The 13,839-nt window shown below is 49.5% G+C and overlaps 1 long non-coding RNA gene across 3 annotated transcripts; it reads right to left on the reverse strand.

Moving 5' to 3' along the window:
- Positions 1-1,906: 1,906 nt before the first annotated feature.
- LOC105370564 (uncharacterized) lies at positions 1,907-10,810 on the reverse strand. Of its 3 annotated transcripts, none has more exons than XR_944025.3 (3): positions 10,626-10,810; positions 7,692-7,803; positions 1,907-1,997 (listed from the first exon to the last, which is right to left on the reverse strand). It is a non-coding gene; the product is annotated as an uncharacterized LOC105370564 (long non-coding RNA). The 3 variants fall into 3 exon arrangements; XR_944026.3 differs by lacking the exon at positions 10,626-10,810 and adding an exon at positions 10,085-10,382; XR_001750823.2 differs by lacking the exons at positions 1,907-1,997; positions 10,626-10,810 and adding exons at positions 5,652-5,860; positions 10,085-10,382.
- Positions 10,811-13,839: the final 3,029 nt, after the last annotated feature.

Below are 13,839 nucleotides of genomic sequence, written 5' to 3' on the forward strand. Positions count from 1 at the left end.
CCAGTGACTTCACACAAAGGAGCAGCTGAGAAGAGTCAAGTTGGGAAAGTCAGTGACTTGAGGCTGAGTAGAAATGAGAAGTGCTGGCTGTGGCAGGACCCATGAAGGATATGTGAGGATTGGAACCAGAAATGATCTCTGAGGAATGGTGGTCGGGGGGCTCATGGGGAAGCAAGGTCCTGCGAGCTGCTTCACCTTGGCCTCCTACTTCCCGCCATCCACCTCTGCTGCTGCTGCCTCTGCCTTCAAGTGGCCCAAAGGCTGTTCAGATGTGCAGCTGTTGAGTAAATCATGGTACATTCCCGTAGCGAACTGCCATGCAGCCATTTGGTGTGTTTGCAAAGAGGTTATGATATCATGGAAGAAATGGTTTTGTCATAAGGATAAGTGAAATGGCCAGATATAACAATTACAGTGGGGTGGTGAATGGAAGGCAATAGGCGAAGGTGGTAATAGTGCTTGCTGCCTGGTTGGAGGAATATGGGGTATTGTTGTTTTCTTCTACATTTTCCAAACTCTCTACGGAAACAGGTATTGATTTTATAATACAGGGAGAAAAAAGCCTCTGGGGCCGGATATACAGATTTTAAAAGCCCTGCTTCTCAGCTCAGCCTGTTATCCTGCACACATGTGCATACATACATAGTTCATCGATAACCTTTGTATATGGTAATGAAATTTGTTCTTTAGTATGCAAATGTATATCAATCTGTACACCAATAAGTGTTTACTGAGCACCTAATAAGCATCCAGCTATACCCTAGGATCTCTACCTCATTGCATGTAATGTGGAAAAAAAAAACTTGTTCCCTATTCATGACAGTCCCATCTCTCCCCACACTCCTCAGAGCCTTTGCCCAGGAGCAGAAAAAAATCATTCAGTCAGTAGGTGTTCAGTGTTGCCAAATAGCTATCTTTTTCCTCAGTCTTTCCTTACCTACCCTGAGAAAATATGTCTCACCTAACTTTGCTGTAGAGTCGTAGCGTTAAGTTTCCCCCAGCTCTTGGACATGCAGCATCTTACTTCAGATGTGTTTGCGAGAGTTTCCTTCGCTACTTTCTCCTTGCTTCCCTTCCCCTTCCCAATTGGAGAGAAGGAAGAAAAGATGAGTTGGGGGTCAGGAGTAGAAATGGGTCAGAGAAGAGTCTGTAATTATACTCATGTTTTCATCACAAACAACCAGTTGGAGGCGCTGCACAATCAGGAAAGAGAAGGAAGTGCATTTCATCTGAGTTGGAGTCTGGAAGACACAAGGGATATGTAGGAGGTGGTTCTCACTTTTATTGGGAGACAAGTGTGTATATAAAGTCAGTTTCCCTGCAGGATGAGAAGCATAGTCATGGAATTGCTAAAGAAGATATAAAACCCTCAGGACCAAATGACATGAGAAAATGGAGAAGAATTGACCTTGTCCCCAAGAAGTGACTTGACCACATCAGCCCCAGGTTCCCAGAATATACAAGCCCACACATCTGACTAGGCCTGGGCTAGAAAATGGGCGGAAATTGGGAGCACTCCCCATTTTCCTTGATAGAAATAGATGGAGCAATGAGTAAAATTCTATGCCTGCCACATCTGCTGCGTCCTCCACTAATGTATGCACTTGTCCATCCTGTTTTCCAAAGAGGGACTGCTTTCTGTCCAGCTCAGAAGAGCAAAACGAAGAAGGAACAATGTCAGCCATGTGTAGCCCTGAATCCTGCCCTACCATTGCGGTCGCTCTAGGGCTTTCAGCCAGAACTGGGGTGGCCAGATCTGATCAGTCTTCCAAAGGAGCGAAGAGCACTCCAGAACAGACAGCTGAAGCAGTTGTTACAGCAGCAGGATTGCAGGGCAGGCGACGCTTCACAACATCACCAAAGACTGATGCAAATTGGTTTGGTTCTGACCCTGTCACACCAGGAAGGATAATGACTCCAGCAGCGCCAGGCATGGGAGGGAGCACGTGGTGGGGGCTGTGAGGATTGGTGTCTCACTTCACATCTTCATTAATGATCTGAAAGACAGGGGTAAACAGCATGCTAATGAAACCTGCAGATGATTGGTGTTACAAACCCCAGAGAGGACAGAGAAATAGCACAACGAGACCCAGAGAGCTTAGAAATATGGGCAGGAGACTGTCAAATGAGACTCGTCCTAGGAAAATGAAAGTCGACACGTCAGGGAGGAATGATGAAGGTGCCTCTGGGTGGGGGCCTGCAAACCTGAAAAGCAGAGATGGGTGGCAGGGTCAGGAGGTTGAGGGATATGATAAGGTTTGGGGTGTGTTGGAGGGAGACAGAGGAGCTGACCTTGAGGACCCAGGGGACAAATACCCTTGTGCATTTCTGGTCAGGACTGACCATGGGGCCAACAGTTCATGCAGCTGGGGAACCAAGCAGGTTGTACTGGCCCATTGGCCTGTGTCAGCTCCAGGACCCCTCTGCAACCCAGGACCTCTGATTTCACAGTCACAAGCTATGCCTATTTGCACCCAAGCCATTAAGGCTAAAAGCGCCATTTTGACCCGACCTGCTATTTTCCTAAAATGAAACAAGCCAAAATACATCTTTAACATTTTGCACTAAATTATTGGGGAATAGGAAATTCAAGAGCAGAGAAAGCAAAAAATGTCCGTATTTTCAAGGGTTTCCCATTCAATAAAGATTTATCAGAGCGTAACTCATTTATATTAAATCTACAAATCTTAAGTGAACAGCTCAATGATTTTTTTCCTTGACCAAATCACTTCACTTCACCAAGTCTTGGTTTCCTCGTCTGAAATGAGCATAACAGCAGAACATATCTCACAGCTGTGTTGTAAAGATTAAATTAGACTCGGTAAAGCCCCTTGGGCACAGTAAGTACTCACATATGGGGTGATTATTATTACTGTTTATTATCCTCTAATTTTATTCCTTAAGCTTTACTCTTAGCTCCCTAAGTAAATGATTAATTTCTTGAAGTCAAGGACTGCCTTAAACTTCTTTTCAGCTCATGGGTGCTGAATAAATCCTTGTTTGATGGATTAATGTGTTAGAAAATTCTTTTCATATAAATAATTTTATTCTTACCTAACTCAGATCTACTTTAAATGAAATCACTTTCTTCAAAATAAAACAAAAACAAGTAAAATCCTTATATCACAAGAGTGTTTTGAAGACAAAATATTCTGCCTTGAGTCTATGTTAACACCATGTGCTGTCTGGTGAAATTTTAGGCCAGAGGAAATCCCAGCCTGATGATTAAGAGCTCACTTTTGGGGCCGGGCACGGTGGCTCATGCCTGTAATCCCAGCACTTTGGGAGGCTGAGGTGGGTGGATCACAAGGTCAGGAGATCGAGACCATCCTGGCTAACACAGTGAAACCCCGTCTCTACTAAAAATACAAAAAATTAGCCGGGCGTGGTGGCAGGCACCTGTAGTCCCAGCTACTCGGGAGGCTGAGGCAGGAGAATGACGTGAACCCGGGAGACGGAGCTTGTAATGAGCTGAGATCGCACCACTGCACTCCAGCCTGGGTGACAGAGCGAGACTCCATCTCAAAAACAAAAACAAAAAACAAAAAAAAAGCTCCATTTTTGAGTCCAGTCGGGTTTGAATTGGGGTGACTAGCCGTCTGATTTGCTTGGAACTCAGGGGTTTCCTGGGAGGAATAACAGTCTTGACCATGTGACCGTTGATCACTCTAGTTTTAATGTGGTTTCTGCTACTTAATAGCTTTGGGGTGTGGCCTTGGATAGGATTGTTACCCTTATTGAACTTAGTTTCCTTTTCCGTTAAAGGGGGAAAATAACTACTTCACCAGGTTGTCGAAAGGATCAAGTGTCCCAGATGCGTTGGTTCACACCAGTAATCCCGGCATGTTGGGAGGCTGAGGCAGGAGGATTACTTGAGTCCAGGAGCTAGAGACTAGCTTGGGCAACATAGTGAGACCCCATCTCTACAAAAAAAATGTTTTTAATTAAATAAAATTAGCCAGCGCAGTGGTACATCCCTGTAGTCCCTGCTGCTCAGGAGGCAGTGCCGGAAGGATGGCTTGAGCCCAGGAGTTCAAGGCTGCAGTGAGCTATGGTGGCAGCATTGCACTCCAGCCTGGGCCACAGAGTGAGACGCTGTCAAAAAAAAAGACAGGGGGTGGCAAGCATGATGCTCACACCTGTAATCCCATTACCTTGGGAAGTTGAGGCAGGAGGATCACTTGGGGCCAGGAGTTCAAGACCAGCCTGGGCAATATAGTGAAACCTCATCTCTCCAAAATTAAATTAGTCAGGCATGGTGGTGCACACCTGTAGTCCCAGCTACTTGGGAGGCAGAGGCAGGAGAACCACTTGAACCCAGGAGTTTGAGGCTGCAGAAAGTCATGATTGTGCTACTGCACTCCAGCCTGGGCAACAGAGTGAGACTGTCTCAAAAAAAAAAAAAAAAAAAAGAATTCAAAGAATATACCTTTGCCTATTCCACTTATACCCAACAAAAATGAGTTGACACCAAAAGACACGTGTGAAAACAATAGCAACTTTATTCATTCAAGTAAAAAACTGGGGAACAAAGGCCATCAGCAGGAGAATGGATAGATTGTATATTCTATGTGGAATGCCAACTGGCAATAAAGAATGAACAAACTACCATGCCGCTTCACACAGTAATATGGATGAATCTCCCAAACACGAATGAAGGGCACATACCGTATGACTCCATCTGTATGAAATTCTAGAACAGGCAGAACTAATCTATGTGATAGAAGTCTAAATAGTAGTAACCTTGGAGGTATTAACTGAAAAGGGGCCCGGGGAGCCTTCTGGGGTTTTGGAAATATTCTCTGTCTTGATCTGAGTGCTGGTTAACACAGGAGGGTATGTGTGTAAACATTCATCGAGCTGTGCAGTTAGTGGCTGCACACTTTAGGTAAGCTGTGCCTTAAAAGAAATTAAGGTTCTCTGAGCCTCTAGAGGGAAGTGTTGATGAAAGCTGATGGTTTTTATGTTTCAAACCACCCCATGGAAGCTATTTGGGGCAATAGCATAGGGGAATCTAGAGGATCCCAGACTCACCCTGGGTTCAAAGCTATGAAGTCAGAAAGAAGGACAGAAGATGGTCAACATGTCCCTTTGGCAGCTGCCACTCATGCTCCACCAGTGACTGAGCATAAGGGCTGGAGGGCCCTGTCCTGTGCCCTCACTCACCGTGACCTCAATGTGGGGGAGGGCTGTCAGTCAAACTCCAAGCCCAGATGCTGCACCCTTGGGCTCTCCTTCGAGGGAGCACCTTTGTCTACCCACCCTTTACTGAGAAATCAGTCCCCAGACTGGGGGCTCCTCAAGAGCGAGGACCAGATGTGTGTTTCTGTTTCTCCAGAGCCTGACCTATCATAGATGTTCATTGTACAGTTGCCAAATGGATGCCTCCAGTGACCTAACTCATCACTTAAATTCTTCCCAGATGGAACTGGCCACTGATCTTAAAGCCAAAGATAGGCTTTTTCACTCATGGATCATTCAGGCACTCCTTCCTAAAATAACTGGGATTCCAAGAGAGCTACCAGCATCTCTGACATGCTTCCGATCAGTGCAATTCTGATTCTGTTAGAAAGGATCTTCAGGCCGGGCGCAGTGGCTCACACCTGTGATCCCAGCACTTTGGGAGACTGAGGCGGGCAGATTACCTGCGGTTGGGAGTTTGAGACTAGCCTTTATTTTTAAAATAAAATAAAATAAAATAAATTCAGTTTCTTAGTTGCGCTAGGCACATTTTGAGTGCTCAGTAGCCACTTATGGCTACTGACTACCACTGTATTCGACAGTGCAGAACTGCATGCATTTCCATCATCATAGAAAGTTCCAGTGGACAATGATGGATTCCAGGTGATCCTCTTGGAGCCTGTAGCGGAGGGGAGGAAGGAAATAGGTGGGTAGGACTGGGCCCCCACCCCCAGTTCAACCAGAGGCACTTTGCCTATAAATTCAGATTTCAAGTTAGATTTCATTTGGGAAAAAAAAGTATGACTTTTTAAATACTTTTTGAAAAGGTAGTAAATACAAACTATATTTAAAATGAACAGATTATGAAAAAATACATCTTCTTGCCATCCCATAACCCTCAGACCACTAGTTAACAGCTTGTGGAAACTACACCTGTTCTGCAGCTTGCTTTTTTTTTTATCTTGGATCTTGTTCATATTGGTACCTAGAGATGTAACAGCTACATACTATTCCACTATATGGATGTGCCTTCAGTTACCTAGCCAGGCCCTGTGATGGACATTCAGGTCATTTCCTGTCTTCTGCTACTACGAACTATGTGGTGATGAGCAGATACCCTTGTGTTTAGGTATCTGTGGATATATCACTAGCAGGGGAATTGCTGGGTCAAAGACCACATGCATTTTAAACTTTAATATATATTGCTGAATTGCATGCCCCGTGCCCAAAAGAGATGGCAACAACAAGAAGGTCTTTTCCCCACACCTTCCACCAGGCCACTGTGATCAGGCCTGCAGGTGTCCTGCAGGGTAACGGTGGCTTATCTTGGGAGGGGGTTGCCATTGCCTCCCCACAGCACTGGGGCCCATTCCACCCAATCACTCTCTCTTCTTGTCACTCCTTCCTGCCACCAAGAATAGTTAACTTTTTATTTTAAAAAATTTTAATGGACTAGTTAACATTTGATTGAGCACTCATCAGGCCCCCGGGTACAAATCCTGCTCAGCCTGACCCTGCTCATTCAATTCACAGATTTGTCCTTTACTTCGGTGCTTCATGGACTCTTCATGACAACCTCCTGAGGCAGGTACCATTATTATTCCCATTCTACAGCGGAGAAGCCTGAGGTTTAGCGATTAAATCACTGGTTCACAGTCACCTAGCTGGTTAGTAGCAGAGCTAGGATCCAGCCCCAGGTCTGTGTCACCTCACAGCCTATGCTTAGTTCCAACAGGCTGCCCCACTCACCTGCTTCCCCTCATCCCTCCTCCCTTCATGGACACCAGCTCTCCCTCCCGCCCTCCGGCCCTGTTAATACCCCACTTCTCTTACGTGTCTTTGCTGAAGTACCCACAAGCCCTCACTCCCTGCCCACTCTCTCCCTCTTAAGGTCAGGGCAGACACCTCCATCCGGACCCTTCCTCCCTCACTGCCTTGGCTTCCTCTACTCTTGGCCTTGGGACTGCCCCACCTGAACTCCTGGGTCGGCCCAGCCCTCCCCTAGGTGATCGCCTCAGCCTACAGGGGCCGGGAGAGCTGGGGAGGGAGAAGCAGCGGCTTGCATCACCTGACCCTACTCAGCCAATTCACGAAGACAAGATGTCAAGTTAATGAGCCTGTGGGCCTCTAATTAGCTGTCAATTACCTCAAATTAATCACCTCCTCGCCTAATTAAGCATTATCGGCAGGTGGGCACAAAGCAGACCATTGTGTGAGAGCCATGAGAAAAGCTGGGCTGGCAAACTTGGTTAGGATCAGCTCTGTGCACTGCGCCCGCCTCCCCACAGCGCTCAGCCATGGGCCCAGCTGAGAGGCCCTGGGGCCCTCTGCCCACCACTGTCCCCAGACACTGGGGTACTTGGGGACCTCCTGGGAAGCTGAGTGGACTGGAAGGGAGGTACAGAGCCTAGAGGCAGGTGAGACAGCTTTGGGGCAGTGGGGCGGTAGGAACTGGAGGCCACGGAGAAGGGCGGAGCTTCAAGGCGTGGTGACCAGCTCCAGGCACTTACTGAGAGCCAAGGCGAGAGCTGGGCAGAGGGGACACCAGGTTGTGGCTGGGCGTCCAGGCCTGTGCGGGCAGGCAGAGCTGGCTTCCAATGCTGGCCTGGCCACTTGTGAGTTCTGTGAACCCAGAAAGAGACAATGTTTTTGAGCCACAGTTTCCATCCCTGGGAAGAAAATTTTTTTTGTTCTAAACACTGTCCTGGGTCTTTGTGAGGGTTCAGTAGGATCATGCTTGTGGAGCACCTGCCACATGGTAAATGTTCAATGTCTTTACTAGTGGCAACAGTGGACATGGGTGGTTTAAGACCCAGGGCCACCTCACCTAACAACTGCTGAAGCTGTATTGTATCCCCAAATTCTGAGCCCCCGGGCCTCAAGCCTGTAGTGCACCCTTGAAAAATGTGAGTGGGCTGGCCAGGCGTGGTGGCTCATGGCTGTAATCCCAGCACTTTGGGAGGCCGAGGCGAGTGGATCACCTGAGATCAGGAGTTCGAGACCAGCCTGGCCAACATGGAGAAACCCTGTTTCTACTAAAAATACAAAAATTAGCCAGGTGGCGGGTGCCTGTAATCCCAGCTACGCAGGACGCTGAGGCAGAAGAATCGCTTGAACCTGGGAAACAGAGGTTGCAGTGAGCTGAGATCGTGCCACTGCACTCCAGCCTGGACAACAGAGTGAGACTGTCTCAAAAAAAAAAAAAAAAAAAACAGGAAAGAGAAAAGAAAAATGTGAATGGGCTGCTAGGACGCACGGTTGCTGGATGCCGGGCTATCTGGCTACCACTTCCTCTCCACTCCCTCCCCATCGCCCAGCACCTTCCAGGGATCAGAGCCCCACTCACAAAGTGCCCTTGGTGCCATATGGAGCTCACCAGATGAGAAGACCACAGTTCTCTAACTAGAGACCAAGAAGAAGAGGGCCCCTTGGGTCTTGGGACTGCAGGGCCTAAAGCAAGGGGGGTCTCCAGGCAGCCCCTGGGCACTGAGTTCATGCCCCCAGCCATGGTCCTGGGAGGCTGAACAGAGTTCCCGCTCTCCTCGGCACAGGGCAGGGTGAGGCTGGGGGCCACCTGGACAGCTCTGCGCTCCCACTGACTGTCAAAGGCCACCACTCCCATGCCAGATCTGTCCCCTCACCCCACCCTAGCCGCCCCTTGTAATCTGTACCCACTACTTCAGCCCTGGCACAGGAAGACCTTTCCCTATCTCCTGTGGTAACAGAGACCCTTAGCCTCGCCGCCATGAAAGCTTGGAAACATCTTTCCTCTCCTTGGTCTCGGTCATTTAGCAAACATTGTACCTTACTAATTAAGCTCACTGTAAAGGGGTGATGGTCAGGTGAACACAAATCATTAATGGATGCTCTGGAGAGACAAAGAACAAAAAAAAGCTAGCACTTATTAAGTGCCTACTGTGTGCTGACAGGAGTGGTAAGAGATTCCGTGAATATGTTACACCTGTATATACTGTTATGTTTAATGAATTATTTATCAAAATAGATAATACATATACACACAATTTTTTAAACTAAAATAAGGGTGTAGAGGAAACCACAGGCTTCCCTCACTCCCCTGCCCTCCAGCCATCTGATTCTGTTTCCCACAACCAACCAGTAACCAGTTTTTCATACACTTTTCCAGAAATTAAAAAATATTTATATGTATATACATATTTCATTTTCACAAGTGAAATAAAACGTACTGTCCATCTTCCTTTTTTAAAAATAATACCGTCAGCCGGGCGCAGTGGCTCATGCCTGTAATCCCAGCACTTTGGGAGGCCAAGGCGGGTGGATCACCTGAGGTCAGGAGTTCGAGACCAGCCTGACCAACATGGAGAAACCCCATCTCTACTAAAAATACAAAATTAGCCTGGCGTGGTGGCACATGCCTGTAATCCCAGCTACTCAGGAAGCTAAGGCAGGAGAATAGCTTGAACCCGGGAGGTGGAGGTTGCAGTGAGCCGAGATTGCGCCATTGCACTCCAGCCTGGGCAACAAAAGCGAAACTCCGTCTAAAAAAAAATAAATAAATACTGTCTTGGAGATTGAATGTGGAATAGCAGCACAGTATTCCACTGCATGAATGTGAACTTTTTTCTTCTCTTTAAAATTACGTAAAAGTTGGCCGGGTGCAGTGGCTCACACCTAGGAGCGTCTGTCCATTAGCTTGTATGTCTGTCCGAATGGAAGTGCCTCCCTGGGCCGGGTGCGGTGGCTTACGCCGGTAATCACAGCACTTTGGGAGGCCAAGGCAGGAGGATCACTTGAGCCCAGGAGGTCGAGGCTGCAGTGAGCTGTGGAGGCACCACTGTACTCCAGCCTGGGTGACAAAGCAAGACCCTGTCTCTAAAAAACGGGGTGATGGGGCTCTTCCGAGTGAAAAGGTGGAACTACTGACCTAGTCCCACCCTGTCAGTTCACCATGAGGAAACAGGCTAGAAAAGGGGTTGACTTGTCCTTAGTCTGGAGCTGCCTTGTCAGGTTCTTCCAGGTACCACTTGATCACGTGGACGGGATGGCATTAGCCGTGCACACTGGGCAAATGCTCCGCCACCCTCCCTGCTCTGCTGGGCTTGGGAGGAGTAAGCGGTGGATGAGATGTCCCTGATGTGTTGGGCCTCCAAGGAGGCCCTTTATTTATTTGTTTGTTTGTTTGTTTGTTTATAGTTGAGTCTCACTCTGTCACTCAGGCTGGAGTGCAGTGGTGCTACCTCAGCTCATTGCAACCTCTGCCTCCCCGATTCAAGCGATTCTCCTGCCTCAGCCTCTCAAGTAGCTGGGATTACAGGCATGCGCCACCACGCCTGGCTAATTTTTTGTTTTTTAGTAGAGACGAGGTTTCACCATGTTGGCCAGGCTGGTCTCCAACTCCTGACCTCAAGTGATCTGCCCGCCTTGGCCTCCCAAAGTGCTGGGATTATAGGCGTGAGCCACCGCACCTGGCCCAAGGAGGCACTTCCATTCGGACAGACATACAAGTGAACGGACGGACGCTCCTAGGATGGGTGCTATGCATTGCTTAAGAAGGGGAACCTTTGAGGACCCTTGAAATCCCTCCCCTCTGATGCCTTGGAGGAAGGCGGACTGGCCCAGATTCCCGGACCGGCAACCGCCACCTGCCTCTCTGGTCTCCTCCCACCCCGAGGGGATCGCGCTCGCGCCGCGCCACTCGCGCGGCCACCGCTAGAGGGAGCCGGGAGCGTCTCCGAAGTCTCCCGCTTGCGGCTTCGCTCAGGCGCTGCCTTTCACCCGCCTCGCAGGGGCTGCGAGGCTCCGACAAGACTGGTCCCTTCTTGTCATTAGGCCCTAGGCCCGCAGCCCTCCGCGGCCCCGACCTCTAGGAGGTGCCCAGCACCAACAGGCCGACCCTATGCTCCCTACCCAGCCCTCCGCTATGAAAACCCTAACGCTGCTCTGCTACTGCCCCCATTTTACCAATTAGGACACAGAGAGGCTGACAGATGTACCTAGGGTCACACAGCGAATGCGTGGCAGAGCCGGAAACCCAGGGGGCCTGGCTCCGAACCCCCATGCCTCAGAGGATCTCAAGCACCTTCTTGTATCTTTCTGTTCAAGGGGAAACCGAGGCACAGAGCAAGTCTAGAGCATACTGTGTGGGTGGCCCAGTCTGCCAAGGACCGACAGGAGGCTAAAGCTAGGCGGCCAGCCCCTAGGCAGATGACCACAGCAGAAAAGCCTGTGGGGAGAAGAGGTGCCAGCCTGCCCCAAGGTGGGGGTGGAGGGGGCTGTTGGTGCCTCCCAGGATGGGTGACAGCTGCAGCCTTGGGTGGGAGGCCAGAGGCCCCACACGATAATAACTTTCACTCACTGCCCAAGAGCTAATCCCATTACTCTGCATGGACCCTCTGGGACCACCTCCCTAACCCCCCTTAATCCCCTGTCTCCCTCTGGGAATGGTCCAAGGGCCTCCCTGCCAGCCCATGCCAGCCCCAGGCACAGGCAGACCTTGCCCCTCAAGCTCTGTCAGACCACCTGTGCCCATGAATGCCCATCGTGCCTGATTCTTGGGGCCCCAAAGGGACAGCCAAGAAGGGTGGAGGTCCAACCTCTCTCACCCACCTTCCCTGCCATCCCTGACCCTGCCTGCCAGTCCCCAAGGCACCTTCCCAAAATAGCCTCCGGCTGGGATCCAGGTTTTCTGAGCCTCGTGTTCCTTTCTAAGCAGGCTTCTGGGGCTTGTTATCGTTTTTGTTGAAGGAATTGGCAGGAGAGAGCTTGGGTCCACAGTATATTCATCTGTAAAATGGACGCAATCGCCCCCAATTTCTATAGTCGTTCCGAGGATACAATGAGACACTATGAGACACGGAGGACACAATGAGACACAAGCCTCCGGAGTGTTATTATCAGTGGTACAGAGCTGTCTTCAGATATGCAAAGGAAGTGGATTTCTTTTGTGTGTTACCAGAAGGAAGCTCCATGGCCAGAAGGCAGATGTTAGAGAGGAAGATTCTGAAAGATACACACTGTCCTATAAGGGTGATAAGAGCCACCATGTACTTGTCTTGGTCTCTTCCTTAGGTGCCAGGCACTTAAGCTTCACAGCACTCTATGAGGTAGATACTGTCATTACCTGCGTTTTGCAGACGTGGGAACTAAGGTTAGGAAACGGCACACAGTGGTGGAGTTGGAATCAAAAACAGCTCTGACTCCAGAATTTTCTGGGGCATTCTGCCTCTCAGGATCTGCTTCTAAAAGGGGGAGCTGATGTCTGAGAGCCACTCCGCCCCCAAAGTAGTGAGCTTCCCATTTGCCAAAAGTGTTCAAGGTGATGCTGAGGGGCCACACCAGGAACCACCGGTCAGGAGCCCTGAGGTCCCATGGCAGCCCCCAATCCTCCCAGCATCCCCAGGCGCGGGTTTCCAGGAGGAGCCAGGCCACTGCCCCCTCCCCAGCCTGGACACAGAGGGGGCTCCGTTTGGCGCCCTGGGCCTCCCTCTCCCCCACCTTCTGCTGCTCCTCATTTACATAAATTATCTCTCTCCAATTATCCATCCAGCTGTCCCAACGGTGATCTGTGAATGAATTAAAAATGGAATATAATTTAATAATGGCTGATTAGAAGGAGATTAGTTGTTATATAAAAATGAAAAGCCAAGAGCCAGCTAGTTGCCCTTAATCTGAGCCAATACCATCGTTATTCCGGAAAGGCCCCCTGGCCACCATCAGGCAAGGCAGACACGGGGACAAAGACTGGGGGAGTGCCAGGTGGGGCTAGACCACCCCAGAGAGAAGATAGGGCACTGGGAGGCTGGAATTTGCAGCATCTCTGAGCTGTGGGGCGTGGGCATCTCCTGTGGCTTCCTTCAAAACAGGTTTGGGTGGCTTCTGGGGTCCCTTTTTGCTCTAAATTCTAGTCATCCTTGAATCAAACCACTGGGCTTTCCCAAGGCAGCCAATGACTTACACCAGACCCTGCTAGGCATAGGATCTGGGGTTCAGGAGTTTCGTTCCTGCTCAGGCCCCGCCTCTAAGAACACATAGCAGTAGGGAACACAGACTTCCCCTGAGGGGGTCTACCTGTCTAGGACAGGTGGTCAGAGAGGGTCTCAAGCTTGGTTGGTCCAGACGGTCCACGGAGGATGGACTGGCTGAGACAAAGAAGGGTGAGTGTGCCCAGTGGGACCTCTGGGCCATCTGAACCTCAGGTTAATGACTAGATCTAGTGAAGGGGACTAGTGCCTCTCCTCCAGGAAGTCTTCCCTGATCTCCTGGGCTTTGGGGTGTCCCCAGTGTTTCTACGATGCCCTGTGTTTTCTCCATCAGTGCACTGAGCACTGCCGATGGGGTGTTCAGGCCCCCGTTTGTGAGCTCCATGGCTTCTTCATGTCTGTATCACCAGTGTTGGGCACACAGTGGTTGCTCTACCACATCATTGAACAAATAAAGACACCACCTCCAAAAAGCCTCTGTGATTGCCCTAGTGTAGGTTATGCGCTCCTTTCTTTGCTCCCCAAACACACTGTGATTATGCCTTTAAAAATAAGGCAAGTCATTGCTGTGGAGAATATAGAGAAGGACAAAATTTTAGGTAAAGGTGGATAGATGGAGACAGAACAAAGTGGTTAAGAGGAGCAGTTTGGAGTCAGACTGCCTGCGTATGCATCCCAGGTCCACCTCTTATTGCTGTAT

This window comes from Homo sapiens, chromosome 14, assembly GCF_000001405.40.
Source record: "Homo sapiens chromosome 14, GRCh38.p14 Primary Assembly".
Lineage (NCBI taxonomy): Eukaryota > Metazoa > Chordata > Mammalia > Primates > Hominidae > Homo > Homo sapiens.